Consider the following 16075-nt stretch of genomic DNA (forward strand, 5'->3'; position numbering starts at 1 on the left):
CCACCATGCCTGGCTAATCCTTTTTGTATCCTTAGTATAGACGGGGTTTCACCATATTGGCCTGTCTGGTCTTGAACTCCTGACCTTGTGATCTGCCTGCTTTGGCGTCCCAAAGTGCTGGGATTAGACGTGAGCCACTGTGCCCGGCCACATTTGTACTTCCATAAGCAATAAAGACTTAGTTAAGAAACTGCAGAAAATTACAAAAGAGGAGGAAACCTCCATAGGCCTACCATTAAAAGACATCTGTCATCTCAAAATTTTGTAGTATTTTATTCAATGCTTTTTCAGTCATAGGTTTTTATTTACCTTTTTCTTTTTTTTCCTTTAAAGTAATTATCTTCTCTGTATTGTTCACAGTTTTAGTATATGTGCTGCTGAAGTGAGCACTACCATTACTTTTCTTTATACTTAGATTAATCTGAAAGTTTTTTTGTTTTTTGAGACGGAGTCTCGCTTTGCTGCCCAGGCTGGAGTGCAGTGGTGTGAGCTCGGCTCCATCATGGTGGCTCATGCCTGTAATCTCGGCACTTTGGGAGACCGAGATGGGCGGATCACCTGAGGTCAGGAGTTCGAGACCAGCCTGGCCAACACGGTGAAACCCTGTCTCTACAAAAATACAAAAATTAGCCAGGCATGGTGGCTCCTGCCTGTAATCCCAGCTACTTGGGAGGCTGAGATGGGAGAATTGCTTGAACTGGGGAGGCAGAGGTTGCAGTGAGCCAAGATTGTGCCATTGCACTCCAGGCTGGGCAGAAGAGCGAGACTCCATCTCAAAAAAAAAAAAAAAAAGAATTTTGCTGATTTATTTTTTCCCCCAAGCTGGTCTCAAACTCCTGGCCCCAAGCAGTCCTCTCATCTGGCCTCCCAAAGTGGTGGGATTACAGACTGGAGCCACCATGCTCAGCCAAATTTTGCTGATTTTTAAATTATTGTTTTTACTTTTTTAAACATTAGGTTTATAAAGCAATGTTATTGGTACCCTTTACAGTTTCAGAACCTAATGTATTTAGATGAATTTGTTATATTCTTTCTTTTTTTAAATTCAAAAATTGAGTTTAGTGGTTCTTTAACTTTTTGGTCTTTCAAGACCCCTTTGTAGGGATGGTTCAATCCAAAGTGTTGAAATCTGTAGGGATGGTTCTATAGGGACGGTTCAATCCAAAGTGTTGAATCAGGGATGGTTCAATCCAAAGTGTTGAAATTACAGGCATGAGTCACCACACCCAACTGAAATACATTTAATGTGGATTAAATTGTTTAAAACTTTTTTGCTTTTTCTTGAGATGGAGTCTTGCTCTGTTGCCCAGGCTGGAGTGCAGTGGTGCTATCTTGGCTCACTGCAAGCTCTGTCTCCCGGGTTCATGCTATTCTCCTGCCTCAGCCTCCTGAGTAGCTGGGACTACAGGCGCCCGCCACCACGCACAGCTAATGTTTTGTATTTTTAGTAGAGATGGGGTTTCACCATGTTAGCCAGGATGGTCTCGATCTCCTGAGCTCATGATTCGCCCGTCTCAGCCTCCCAAAATGCTGGGATTACAGGCGTGAGCCACCGCGCCTGGCCTGTTTAAAACTTTTATGTGTGTGTGTGTGTGTGCGTGTGTGTATATATATACACACGCGCGCGCACACACACACACACACACACACACAGCCCACCATTCCAAAAAGGATTTCAGGCAACTACAGATAATACAGTTTATATATAGAGAAATTATCAGGAAAAAAATAAATGTAGTCAAATAGTAATATGAAGCCAAGCAAAACAATTTCTTCAAAGTATGGTGAAGTCTTGAATAATTATTAAAGGTGGGTGACAAATTAATCTTTGAACTTCTAATTACATAGCTGGTGGTTTTCAGGTAACTTACACTTATAGCAGGGAGCATGGAAAAAGAGTCATAACTTCTCCTGTTTGCTGGGAAGCTTTATAACTGCCACTGAAGGGAGAGTCTTCATTAGCACGTAACTCTCTACTTTGGTAGGACCTTAGTTGACCTAAGAAGACTATTCCATTTAAACTGTTAGAACAACAAAGTTGAAAAGTATTAAAAGTTAACTAGTTACGGTAGGTTGTTTGGGGTTTTATTTATTTATTTATTTATTTATTTATTTATTGGTCACAATGTCCCTTAACAATTAACCTCTAAAAAGTAGAATGGATAGAAGGTTTTTAACTTCAGTGAAGAACTACCCAGTGGTGAGATTTTTTTTCAGGGAAATAGAGTTTGTGAAACAATTCACATCCCAATTCCGGTAGTTCAGTCAGAGGTAGTTGTAGTTTTAGGTGTCTTATTTTCCTTTTGAAGCCATTGTATTCCATTGGAATTTTAAATAAAACATTAATAGGTGATTAATAAGTTAATTAATGTGCCAAACTGAAGATGTACCAAACTGAAGAATTGTATGGTTTTACATAATCCATTTTTAAAAGGCTTTATTGGAATATAATTTACATACCATATAATTCATCCATTTAAAGTGTCTAGGTCGGGTGTGGTAGCACATGCCTGTAATCCTAGCACTTTGGGAGGCTGAGGCAGTTGGATTGCTTGAGCTCAGGGGTTTGAGACCAGCCTGGGCAACACAGCAAAATCTTGTCTCTACAAAAAATTAGCTGGGTGTGGTGGTGCGTGCTGGTGGTCCCAGCTACTCAGGATTGCTTGAGCCTGGGATATAGGGGCTGCAGTGAACCGTGATCATGCCACTGCACTCCAGCCTAGGTGACAGAGTGAGACCGTGTTTCGAAAAAGAAAAAAAAAAGGGTATCCAGTTCACTGGCTTTTAATATATTAAGAGTTGTGCATACATTACCACAGTCAATTTTAGAATATTTTTATTACCCCAAAATGGAATCTGGGATCCCTTAGCCATCATCCCCTAATGTCCTCATTTTCCCCAGCCCTAGGCAGTCACTAATTTACTTTCTTTCTCTAAGTATTTACCTATTCTGGACATTTCATGTAAAAAGGATCATGCAGTAGATGATTTTTTTGTGTGTGACAAATTCCTTCCACTTAGCATCATATGTTCAAGGTTATTTCATGTTGTAGCATATATCAATACCTTGTTTCCACAGAATACATTTTTGAAAGGAAAAAGAACAGGAGAATAAAAGAGAAAAATCTGCAGCCTGAAATTAAATTGCCCTTACAGAAGTAATTAACATGACTTATTTTTTAAATCTGAAGTTATAAATGACTCTGTGAAAGAGCTTTTTCTTTCAATCATTGTAAAACCAGCTGTGATAAGTAAATAAGAACATGCTCTTAGAATCTGCAGGAGGGAAAACATAACAAATTCATGGATTACATTTACTTTTATTTTTGTCATCCCAAAGTAAAGAATTTTAATTATTGCTCATGAGAAATGAAAATGTTAATTGAGCTTAAATTTATTGATTTGAAATTCCATTATGTATATCGGGTTAGAAACACATTTTAATTTACCAGGAGTATAAAATACAACAGATAAGGGATCTTTTTGATGTAAGCTTTTCTGTAAACAAAAGCAGTATGGGTCAGAAAACTATAAACATTTTATCTGTTCTCTCATGTTTTAAGTATTTACCAAGTAAAGATGTTAACGTATCATGAGATTTAATTCCTCAAAACGTTTTTGCTTTTTAGATAAGATACCAGTTACAAGTTTAGGGCTGTTAAGTTCAAATTTTGAGTGTATTTTAAATTATGAAGAAATGATTATGAAAGACTTTCACAGCAATATAAAGTCATCATGAATCTCATTCAACTTCTTCAAAGGGATGACCAAGGTCAAAGTGGGTAAAGAAGACTCATCATCCACTGAGTTTGTAGAAAAACGGAGAGCAGCTCTTGAAAGGTAATTCTAGACAGCTATATTTTATTACTCTCATGTTTGTACCTTAATATAAATGTAATTCCATTATATGGCAAAACTGTGTTTTAATGATTAAATTTTTTCCAAAGTACCACTTGGTGGCTTTTAAGACTGCTTTAAACTTTTTTAAGAAAATTACTTCTTTCAACAAAGTACTGTATAATTGTTCTGTATAATTTTTAGTAATCCTCATCAATAGTCTAACAAAATAACACTTGTTTTTCTATTATATGCTACAAGCAGGAGCATATAATAGAAAACATATAAAGACATGAGTTAGCTGGGGATAGAATTGTATCATAGGTAGTCACCAAGAGTTACTAAGAAACTGCTAAACTTGGAAAACATGGAAGTTGTGAATGGGGGGAAAAATAAAAATTTTTGGATGCAAATAATCCCACTTTGGTCTTATTTAGGTTTCTGGGAAGTTATACCACACTCATGTACTGTGTTGGATAGTATAGCTAATTATAGTTCATCTAAATTAACTTTTCTGATGAGTTTTTACTTAGTAAGAACATTATTAAATACAGTGAGAAGTACAGTTTGTGCCCCCCTTGTGTTTGTATAATTGATTTTTACTTGAATGTACAAAAGTATTAGTCTTTGCTTGAGTTGACTATATACAGTTGACCCTCCATATCTGTGGGTGCCTTATTTGTGGATTCAACTAACTATGGATGGAAAATATTTGAAAAAAATAATTACATCTATACTAAACATGTGCAGACATTTTTGGTCATTATTGTCTAAACAATACAGCTTAACAACTGTTTTCATAGTATTTCCATTATATTAGGTATTATAAGTCTAGAGATGACTTAAAGTATATGAGAGGCTGTCCATAGGTTATTATGCAAACACTACGCCATTTTCTATCAGGGATTTGAACATTTGCAGATTTTGGTATCCATAGGATGTCCTGGAACCAGTCCCCCACTGGTACTGAGGGACAGCTATACTTAAAGACTAATATATATGCTCTGTTTTCCTTTAGAGTACTTGACTCTACACATTTCCTATAGCTTTGAAGACTTGTCTTCCTTGAAGCAGACTAAAAGGGGGACAGATGGGAGGATGGGAAGAACCACACTTCCATAATCTTAGAATTATTCCTTCCTTGCTATGCTGACAAAGTGAGAAAACAAATATAAATTATCTTAAAGCCCAGCATTTAAGACACAAGTTGGTAATTACCTAGGCTTGAAACTTTCTAATTTCACTGGTTTTTTTGTTTGCTTGCTCTTTATTTTTCTCTGGCTTAAAATCAGTGGTTAGGGTGAATAGCACAGGTCTTGGGGGTGGTATCTATTTCTCTAGGTCACAAATTTTTTTTTAAACTATTTCAAGGCAACTTATTTCTAGTTTTCAGTAGTAAATTGTTTAAATTTCAAGAAAAATGGTACAGTGAAGTTAGATTTGAACAATTTAAGAAAAGCTAAAGAATATGTAGTTTAAAATCTTAGAGAAGGCTTAAAGATGGGATTATGTCTGAGAATCTGCAGTTACCCAGAAAAAGGATTTAAATTGCATCAAGAGAAGTTTAGGTTAGGCATTTGAATTGATTTTATTGTAGGAGAGGTCATAGACTGAATATTTTTAAGAATAAAGGTAAATCGGATGGTTGCCGGGTCTGTGTGGATAGAAGTAGACATGGGAGACTTTTCATTTTGTTCTGTACTAAGAAAAATTCTTCTGCCTTGGGATCCTGTCGATCTGTGACCTTATCCCCAACCCTGTGCTCTCTGAAACATGTGCTGTGTCCACTCAGGGTTAAATGGATTAAGGGCGGTGCAAGATGTGCTTTGTTAAACAGATGCTTGAAGGCAGCATGCTCGTTAAGAGTCATCACCACTCCCTCATCTTAAGTACCCAGGGACACAAACACTGCGGAAGGCCGCAGGGTCCTCTGCCTAGGAAAACCAGAGACCTTTGTTCACTTGTTTATCTACTGACCTTCCCTCCACTATTGTCCTATGACCCTGCCAAATCCCCCTCTGCGAGAAACACCCAAGAATGATCAATTAAAAAAAAAAAAAAAAAAAAAAGAATAAAGGTAGATAATGGTCTGCCTTGATTTCGCTTAGTCTTTCCTGAAAATGTAACCATGACCCTTTGAGAGACCTTTCAAGTCTTATTTTTCTATGAGTAAATTTGAAGTATTTCAGATGGCATGCTTGATAAGGAACTTAATGAAGATTTACTGTACCAAGGACATATAATTTGATTCTACCTTTACGTTTCTTCCAACTTGGCTGCATTGCATAGTACTTACCATACCTTCATGTACTATGAAATGTTGAGGAGAGTTTTAAGGGATATTGAAACTTGACCCTGTTTGTATAAAGACACTTTCTTTACTGATAAATGCTACTTGTTAAATGGTACCATAGTGGAATTTGCAATAGTGAAAAAAAGAAAGAAACAGTATAGTATGAGGGAAAAGTTCATTTTCAATTAGAAAAAAATCACTGAAGAAAATATAGGCATAAAGGTGTAGAAGCAAAGGAACTGGAATGGTTTCTTTTAATCTAATCTTAATTCTTCTGTGCAAGCTAATTTTCCTGTACACATTTATTTTTTAATCTGTACAGGATTCTAAAACTGCATTTTTCTTGCCCTTTCATATAGCCAGCTTTTCTAAAGTGATTTTTCTGTGATATTTCTTAAACTTTAAACATCAAACAGGTACCATCTGTGGGATACCCAACCCAGTTGGATCTGGTGGGTTAGGGAAGCATTTTTCTTCGTATTATTTTATTCAATAGTATGATATTTACGTATTCGTTCAAACTTAGATAATCCAGATGACTACCTTGAATGAAAGGATAAATATCTGGTATTAAAGGTTAGGAAGAGAAAAGGAGTGGTTAAATACCCAAGTATTCCCCTGTGCCACACTCAGTAAACTAAGCAGAGACTGCTTCTATTAAGAGTAGCCCTAACATCACTTGCTTGGTTTTCTTGAGAGTGCTTCAGATCTTTAGATCATATTGAGTGTATTTTATAGGTAAGGATACACATCTGCAAATACAAAATGAGAAATTTAGAGCATAATAATAAGTGTATAAGATTTATAATTCCTTTTCAGTTGAAACCTGTGCTAATACTACACACTTTCTGTGTGACCTTAGGTAAATTACTTACATGCATTTGTCTTTAAAGTGTAAGTGTGAGGCTGGGCGCGGTGGCTCACACCTGTAATCCCAGCACTTTGGGAGGCTGAGGTGGGTGGATCACGAGGTCAAGAGATCAAGACCATCCTGGCCAACATGGTGAAACCCTGTCTCTACTAAAAATACAAAAAATTGGCTGGGTGTGGTGGCGCGTGCCTGTAGTCACAGCTACTTGGGAGGCTGAGGCAAGAGGCTTGAACCCAGGAGGCAGAGGTTGCAGTGAGCCAAGATTGTGCCACTGCGTTCCAGCCTGTCGACAGAGTGAGACTCCGTCTCTAAATAAATAAATAAATAAATAAATAAATAAATAAAATGTAGTGTGTCAGGATTGTGTTCATTTCAAGCATCTAAAAATCCAACTGGCCTAAACAGTTAATGTAGATTAATTAATCCACTCTTTCAAATCAAAGAGTTTGGAGTAGGCAGCTGTTCAGGATTATCTAATTCATTAGGAAATTCTATTGCTTCTTTCTGATATCTGATAATACAACCTTTTCTCACCAGTCTACTGACTGAGTCCAAAGGTGTTAATTAACTGCAGTAGCCTCCTAATTGGTGTCCCTGATTCCATTCTTGGCACTTCTACTTTAATACAGAACTTTACAGTAGTCATTCTAAAATATAAATCAGATCATTTTAACCCCTCCCCACGCTGGCCCCATGCCCCCATTTTACTCAATAAAAGCCAGAGTCCTTTTAATGGACTACAAGACTTTATATGACCTGCACGCCTCACTCTGTTACCCATTTGATCTCATATCCTCCGTGATCACTCACTCTGCTTTAGGCCAGACTAACCTTTTGCTGCTTCTCAAACACCCTAGGCATTTTCCTACCTTAGTCTTTTCAACTGCCTGCTCCCTCTGCCTAGAATGCTTTGTTCCTAGGTATCTGCATAGCTAACTCATTTCCTTGTTCAAGTTCGTATGTTCAAATAACATCTTTCAAGTGAAGCCTATTCCAGTCATTGGCTTTCTTCTGACCTATTCTATTTATATTGCCACCAACCACATCTTAAATACTTGGTCCCATTTACCCCATTGTTCTGTCTTTTTTTCCCATAGCTTTTGCCACCTTGTCACATGCTTTATCATTTGTATGTTTATTATGTTTATAGTTTATTGTCTATCTTGTACTAAAATGTAAGCTTCACCAGGGAAAGAATCTTAGTCCCTTTTGCTCACTGATGTGTTCCAAGTACTCAAAACAGTGCTTAATAGGTAGTAAGAGCTCAGTAAGTATTTGCTGAATGAACAAGTGAATGTTATCCAAGACCCAGGCTCTTTCTACCTTTTTATTCTCCCATTATGTGCATTTGTGTTTTAGTTTCAAGCAAGATAAATATTTGTAACTCTGTTGCTCTCAAGCGTTTTATATAACCTGCTTTATTTTGTTTTGTTTCTGGTAAGTAAATAAGAATTTGAAAGCCTTGAGTGATTTTTCATCAGTAACTTGAAGTAAATTTGAAGAACAATTACTGAGCACCTCTTATTGGATGTGATATTGATCAATTCCATTGTCTTTTATTTCTGACTTTTTTCAGTGTTTCTATTTCTCCCCATACCTCTTTTCCTGTCTTCTTCCTACACTCATTTACCCTTTTTGTCCCGTGTCTTTCCTTTGTATTACAACCATCTCTGGTCTTAATTCCGAATTGGCATATGTTTATAAATATTTATTGTTTTAAAATCCATTTTATGTTTCTGTTCTTAATTTCAACATTATGTAAACATATATATAAAAGCATATAAGCTTATATATGAGAAACATATATATAAACTAAAAAATGCATACATGTATTTTTTAGTATATGTATTTAGTATATGTATTAGCTTTATTTTATGTTGCCCTTGAGAAGGAAAGTTTTATTCCCTTTTTCTGGAATATCATTTTTCAAAATTGATTCTTCAGAATGCTAATATGTAGTAGAATGAAAAAGATCTATAGTCAATTGAGTTTTGTCAACATAGGATTTAACAAAGTTAAACTAGGGTTATTTTCTGTAGGAGTTCTCACAACACTTAATAAAATGCTGTTTGATATGAATTTTAAAAGACAGGAATATATATATATTTCAAACTTTCTTGATATGGAATCAGTCTTTTTCATGGAATAGTACGTGAGACTAGTATTCTACAGAACTCACTTTGGAAAGCTGTTTTAGAATATAAATTATACAAGGTATTTCCACTTAGGTTTGAAATATTAGAATATTTCCTTTTTTTTTTTTTTTTTTTTTTCTGAGACGGAGTCTCGCTCTGTCACCCAGGCTAGAGTGCAATGGTGCAATCTCGGCTCACTGCAACCTCCGTCTCCTGGGTTCAAGCAATTCTCCTGCCTCAGCTTCCTGAGTAGCTGGGACTACAGGTGCATGCCACCACCCCCAGCTAATTTTTGTATTTTTAGTGGAGATGGGGTTTCACCATGTTGGTCAGGCTGGTCTCGAACTCCTGACCTCGTGATCTGCCTGCCAAAGTGCAGGGATTACAGGCATGAGCCACCTCACCCTGCCAGAATATTTCTTAGAGGTTAAGTACTAGATGTTTTGTCCTTCTTGGGTTTTTGTTTGTTTTTTACAAGTATCTGAGTGCCTGCTATTACCTAGCTGTTGTATGCACTGAGATGAGCAACTTATGCAAACTGCCTTCAAGTAGTACTCAGTCTAAACAACGAAATAACTTATCTGATATATTGTGAGAGAACTTCAGTGTTAAAATTGTAAGTCAAATTCAAGTGGGGAAATACCAACATTTCTTAAACCTGCAGGATTAGTGTTCTTGCTGCATCCCTTTTTTGGCTTCATAATATAGGTAGCAAAAATTTTTTTAAACCCAGCATAGATTGTATCGAAGATACCTGTTAAATGCTCTGGTTCTAGTATAATGACTTCTTATGTGGGCTACTGACTTAAAACGAAGTTTAGTATGCTGTATATTTTATTTAAATATATAAAAACAGAAGTTAACATTTTGATACTGATAAAATAGTCATTTTTATCAATGTATAGAATTTGACTTTAGAGAAGATTATCACTTTTTTGGAAACCTTAATTTTAGGCATATTTTATAATCTTATAAAAAGGTAGAAGAAATTACTGACTACATTTATTCTAAAGAAATAAAATAAATATGTTATTGCGAGGAAAAATATTATAACTGAAATATTACTGCATATGGTTATTAACTTGGGGAAAGATAGCAGGTTTTTTTTTGTTTTTTGAGACGGAGTTTCACTCTGTCACCCAGACTGGAGTGCAGTGGCAGGATCTCGGCTCACTCCAACCTCCACCCTCCAGGTTCAAATGATTCTCCTTCCTCGGCCTCCTGAGTAGCTGGGACTACAGGCACCTGCCACTGCGCCCGGCTAATTTTTTGTATTTTTAGTAGAGATGGGGTTTCACCATCTTGGCCAGGCTGGTCTTGAACTCCTGACCTCGTGATCCACCCGCCTCGGCCTCCCAAAGTGCTGGGATTACAGGCGTGAGCCACCGCGCCCAGCCGATAGCAGTTGTTTTTAATGGGATTAGATGAGTAATCGAGAATCATCAAATAGTTGACCTTATTTCCTTTTATGAAGTCATGATTGGTAATTTATTATGGGTGACAGGCACATGTGAGCTTTTCTAATAAAGGGAAATTGATTTCATAGTGGTATTTCTAACTTTTTCATTTTTATTCATTTTATGTGGTATTCGTTTATTTGATTTTGTATGGTATCAAATTAGATAAGACATTTACCAAAAACAGCAAAACCTTAAAAATAGAAATACTGAATAAATACCTTTGAAGAGGTATGGGGAAAATACTGAAGAAAATTTAGTTCTTGTCAAGTGAGGACTAAAGCTAATTGTGATCATTTAAATATGCTGACACGCAAAAAAGTATTGGTAGACTCTTCCCCATTCTGATGATAATAGCAGTTTAAAACTTGGTTGAGTGGAATATATATAGTAATATTAATATGTTTCTTAGAACTCTAAAATTATAGTTGAGAACATGACTCCACCCAAAGATAAAATGATGCAACAAACTCACATACCCCTTTGCAACATAATACTTTGCAATGAGAAGTTTGGTAAGTTATTTAACCTCTCCCCACTCCCACCCCTTGCCATTTCTCTTTTTACGTAATTATGAAAACTGGATAGTATATCAATTTTCAAAAGATGAACAAAAACCTTTTTAATTATTAAATTGCTGTAAGATTCTAAGTAATTACAGTGAGAGTAGTCTAATACGAGGTAGTGAGGACACTTTTTTTTCCTAGTATTTCTATTTTTTTATCATTTTGTTGAACTGTAATTCAAGATGCTACTGATAAAGGAGCAATTTTACTCTTAAATCTAGGTATCTTCAAAGAACAGTAAAACATCCAACTTTACTACAGGATCCTGATTTAAGGCAGTTCTTGGAAAGTTCAGAGGTATTATTTCTATATTAAATGTTTGTATATGAATGTTCTCGTTATTTGTCATTGTAATGTATATGACTATATATAGTAAATAATTGAGTTAATAGATGGAATAAAGCAATTATTATTATTATGTTTTGCTTAGTGCTTTAATTACCCTGCTAAATTAGTAGCAAAATATCTTTGCTTTGATACTTGTAGGGTGATTAGTCCCTTTCTTGAATACTTAAAACAAGATTTAAGAGAGTGATTTATAAGTAGTCTAACTCTGAATGCCCTAAGTTGTTCCTCAGGCATCATGTTGAAATAAGTTTATTCAGACTTCATTTTAGAGAAAGAGAAAGTTGAATGTGTATTTGCTTGTCTACATTTTGGTATCCTTATTAAGGTTTTGAAATGCAAATTTGTGACTTGAAAGAGCCTAAATTCTAAACATGATGCTCTTTTTATTTGAAATGTTTGGTATATTTTTGGCTCCTAAGAGCAATTTGAGTTCTAGTTTGCATTTTTTTCTTTAAATTACTTGAGTTGCAGAATTTTTAAAAAACTCAAAATTACACAAAGCTAACTGAGCATAAGGAGATTTTTCTCAAGACTTTCTTCTTTCCTTATAAACGGTTTATTTCTGTTAGCAAACAGGTGGCCAGTGTTAGGGTACTTGGCAATTTCTTAATATATTTTGACAAACAGGGTGTTTGTTCCATCTAAATGTAAACGTGCAGAAGAAAAGCAAATGGAAAGTCTATTTTTTAAGTTTTCCTTTGAGAATGTACAAGTAGTATATTTGAGAAATTAGATCTCACTATTGAAATGTATGAGAGTGAAGAAAATACAACCTCTTTTTTAAAATTTGTATGTGGGGGGGAGGGGGGAGGAGGGGGGATCACTTTTGTGCCTAGTTAAACCTCCAGGCTTTTAACCGGTTTGTTTGCCCTTATTTGTCATTCAATTCCAGCTGCCTAGAGCAGTTAATACACAGGCTCTGAGTGGAGCAGGAATATTGAGGATGGTGAACAAGGCTGCCGACGCTGTCAACAAAATGACAATCAAGATGAATGAATCGGATGCAGTAAGAGCTGATTTTTCGGCTTGAATAATGAGATGAATTAATGAGCCCAACAATTGCATTTTAAAGCTGTACAAGTGGAAAATAGGATATTAATTTGCTTATTGAGTTTAGTTCTCAGCCACATCAGTTGGCCACCATGGTTATAAGGTTAATTTGTTGCTTTAAAACAAGGAATTTAGCTTGCTATTGGTAACCTAATTTACAATGGTTTGTTCTTCCTAAATTAGCTCCATTTTTCATTTTTTTCTTAGTGGTTTGAAGAAAAGCAGCAGCAATTTGAGAATCTGGATCAGCAACTTAGGAAACTTCATGTCAGTGTTGAAGCCTTGGTCTGTCATAGAAAAGGTTTGTTTGCCTTACTACTTACGTAGTTAGCACCATAAAACTAATGAAAATATTTTATTTAAATTTTATGAAAATAAATATTCTGAAGTTATTGCAGAAGAGAGAAAACAATCATTTAAGACAATGTTTTCTAGTTCAACTTTATTATGTAAATTTTTTTTGTTCTATTTTGCTTTACTATCTAGTTTAGAAGTAGAAAAATAACGAGCTTAGAAAATTATTTGTTAACTGGTACAGATGTGAGCTAAAAAAAAGAACAAAGAAAACTATATTTGAATTTTGGATTAAAACTTGGTCACTTGATTAACTTTTTGTTAAGTATAGTTACAGTTAAATGGATGAAGAGGTCTTATCAATTAGTAACTTTGATTATAATAAAAAAACTTGAGATTTGAAAATTGCTTTTTGAAAATTTTTTGGAAAGTATTTGTTTTGTGTGTCTATTTCCTGTAAAACCCTTTGAAGTATTTTCTTCATTTTTGAACTGCAATATTGAAAAACCTGGAGGTTTTGCTAAAAATTCATAGAAAATTTGAGTTGTAATATTTTAATCCACAGTGAAATTATAGTTTTTTGGTTTTTTAAAGAATCCAACAATGTAAATATCAATTGTCTAAGACATTTAATAAGCAAATAATATGTAACATTACCAGCAATACATTTTATTAAAATAATTATAGAAACTTATTAATACATTTATTATTGAAAGTAGTTTGTAACAGCTTTTGCCATTTGAATTATATATATCTCTTAGGGAATGGGCTTTTTTGGAGAACTTTACATAATGTAGAGCAACGGAGCAGTTTCCACGCAGTGTAATTGTTAGTCATTGACAGTATTCAGCCTGTAAACATCTACTTTTCTTTATTTGAAATATCTGAAATGATCACATTCTAAATCTTTTTAGAAATTCTAATATTTTACTGAGATTGTTGTACAACAAAGAAACTAACAGTAAAATTTATGTTAATTGTGTATATAATTTTACCTTTGCTCCTGTTAGCTAAATAATATTCTCATTAAAATTATAGACATTATTTTCAATGACAAATGTTTAAAGGCCAGAAATGTGGTATAAATCAATTGTGAGTATTACCAGTTCTTCTCATATTAAAAATATATTTCATTTTTAGGAATGGGCAGAGAAACAGTGAACACTGTGGGAGAAAAAACAGGAGGCAGATTTTTATATTAAATGATTTAAACATAGTTCATCCCTTTGGAATATAAGCAGTGATTTGTCTGTGTTTTCAGTAGATCTCCGAGCACTTGGCATTTATGCCTGAGGCATTTTAACGACTAATTGTTTCATATTAATTAATTTAAAATATTATTTGAGCAACTTGTGCATAAGTAAAATTTAGAGAAAAGTGGAAAAATCAATACAATATTTTAAAATTTTATGAGTGAACACTAAAATTGCATACTTTTTTTTAAATTTCAGAACTTTCAGCCAACACAGCTGCCTTTGCTAAAAGTGCTGCCATGTTAGGTAATTCTGAGGATCATACTGCTTTATCTAGAGCTTTGTCTCAGCTTGCAGAGGTTGAGGAGAAGATAGACCAGTTACATCAAGAACAAGCTTTTGCTGACTTTTATATGTTTTCAGAACTACTTAGTGACTACATTCGTCTTATTGCTGCAGTGAAAGTAAGCCCTTTCTTGCATGCTTCTCACTTGTGTCGTGTACTTTAAAAAGTATTTTGTTTCCTATTAATTATGTATTTACATGTCTAAATTCCTCCTATACTAGCATGAATAAAATGGCTTCAAGATAAGTATACATAACTTAATACTTTCTTCCCTATGACTTGCACAGTACAATAGATAGAATTAATGTTTTTAACAGGTCTAAGGAATGACAGATAAGATAGAAAACATTTATACATTTACTTATGTATTTGCTTATACAAGTTTGGAACTAACTAATAGCATTTGTTTGCTCGTTCTAGCACTAACTGAAACTACTCACCGGACTCTATTATCATTAGTAAAGCTGACTGTGTAATAAATAGGATAAAACCAGAAACGATTATTGCAGTGAATATGTTTAATGGGGGCTTTATCATAAATTTGGATGTAATCAGACTTTGTATCCTCAAATATGTAGTCACCATGTGTTTATAGATGAGATGGGACTAGATTAGATCATAAATTGTGTTATTGAATGGTAATACTTATATAATAGTCCAATTTCTGAATAGTTGAGAAAGTAATCCAGTTAGTAAAAATTAGTATTCTGCAGATATCTGCAGTTTTCAGACAGTTAAACTGAACTGAACGTTACCCAGTGTATCATGTTTCAGAAGATACTTTAAGATCTTTGAATTTTTGTTATGGATATTAGTTATCATGGGGTTTGAGGGGTACTGGGTATTTACTTTTTACCTTGAATTTAAACATCTAGAAAGTTAATGAGATCTTGTTTCTTTCTTATGCAAAATTTTTTCAGCTAAAGTCTGTGATCAAGTTAATACTCATCTACAATGAGCATATTTATTGATGGTTCTGTTCTTAAGCAACTGGTGACATTTATTACTAGAGCATTCTTAGCACTTCAGAATGGTGCTTTCTTTTATTTGGTAAAATTACCAATTTTACTTGTATTTTACCGTTTTAAATGTTCCTAATGCTGTTGGTGATTAATTTCTCAGTATTTAGAAATGTTAATATACATAGCAATTGTCAGAGTATATATACTTCATTATATATAGGCAGCTTGTGATGTACAGAGATCCAGTTTACAGATTTGTCCCACCTACTCTCACTTCTTACCAGAGCACCCAATAGCATGAGACCTGTTGTAAAAAAGTGTGACACTTCCAACAAACCCGTGGGTCAAAAAAGGGGAGTTGGGCAGTGTCTGTAAGAATACATATCTGGGCCGGGCACTGTGGCTCACGCCTGTAATCCCAGCACCTTGGGAGGCCGAGGCGGGTGGATCACGAGGTCAGGAGATCAAGACCATCCTGGCCAACATGGTGAAACCCCGGCTCTACTAAAAATACAAAAATCAGCTGGACATGGTGGCGTATGCCTGTAATCCTAGCTACTCAGGAGGCTGAGGCAGGAGAATCACCTGAACCGGGGAGTCAGAGGTTGCAGTGAGCTGGGATTGCGCAACTGCACTCCAGCCTGGCGACAGAGACTCCATCTCAAATAAAAAAAAAAAAGAATACGTATCTGCTAATAAGAGCTAACCTGGAAAAAGACCCCC

The 16075-nt window shown here is 35.1% G+C and overlaps 1 protein-coding gene and 1 long non-coding RNA gene across 3 annotated transcripts in view, besides 2 other annotated features; one reads left to right on the plus strand and one right to left on the minus strand.

Moving 5' to 3' along the window:
• SNX2 (sorting nexin 2) overlaps window positions 1–16075 on the plus strand; it is a 59548-nt gene that overhangs the window by 29520 nt on the left and 13953 nt on the right. For both annotated transcript variants that reach the window (NM_001278199.1, NM_003100.4), the window contains exons 7-11: window positions 3762–3840; window positions 11381–11456; window positions 12400–12513; window positions 12765–12858; window positions 14303–14508. In NM_001278199.1, the coding sequence (NP_001265128.1) occupies window positions 3762–3840; window positions 11381–11456; window positions 12400–12513; window positions 12765–12858; window positions 14303–14508 (569 nt within the window). The remainder of the gene's footprint in view (window positions 1–3761; window positions 3841–11380; window positions 11457–12399; window positions 12514–12764; window positions 12859–14302; window positions 14509–16075) is intronic.
• Window positions 1–16075, minus strand: part of LOC105379154 (uncharacterized) — a 57613-nt gene that overhangs the window by 16579 nt on the left and 24959 nt on the right. The gene's annotated exons all lie outside the window — the stretch shown is intronic.
• Window positions 5130–5634: an enhancer, noted in NCBI's record as "OCT4-NANOG-H3K27ac hESC enhancer chr5:122145340-122145844 (GRCh37/hg19 assembly coordinates)". NCBI's record gives its function as "activates a minimal SCP1, AML or CMV promoter by ChIP-STARR-seq in naive H9 embryonic stem cells {active_cell/tissue: H9 hESC(naive)}" and the evidence as "EXISTENCE:reporter gene assay evidence [ECO:0000049][PMID:30033119]".
• Window positions 5635–6140: an enhancer, noted in NCBI's record as "OCT4-NANOG-H3K27ac hESC enhancer chr5:122145845-122146350 (GRCh37/hg19 assembly coordinates)". NCBI's record gives its function as "activates a minimal SCP1, AML or CMV promoter by ChIP-STARR-seq in naive and primed H9 embryonic stem cells {active_cell/tissue: H9 hESC(naive and primed)}" and the evidence as "EXISTENCE:reporter gene assay evidence [ECO:0000049][PMID:30033119]".

Source organism: Homo sapiens, chromosome 5 (assembly GCF_000001405.40).
Source record: "Homo sapiens chromosome 5, GRCh38.p14 Primary Assembly".
Taxonomy (NCBI): Eukaryota; Metazoa; Chordata; class Mammalia; order Primates; family Hominidae; genus Homo; species Homo sapiens.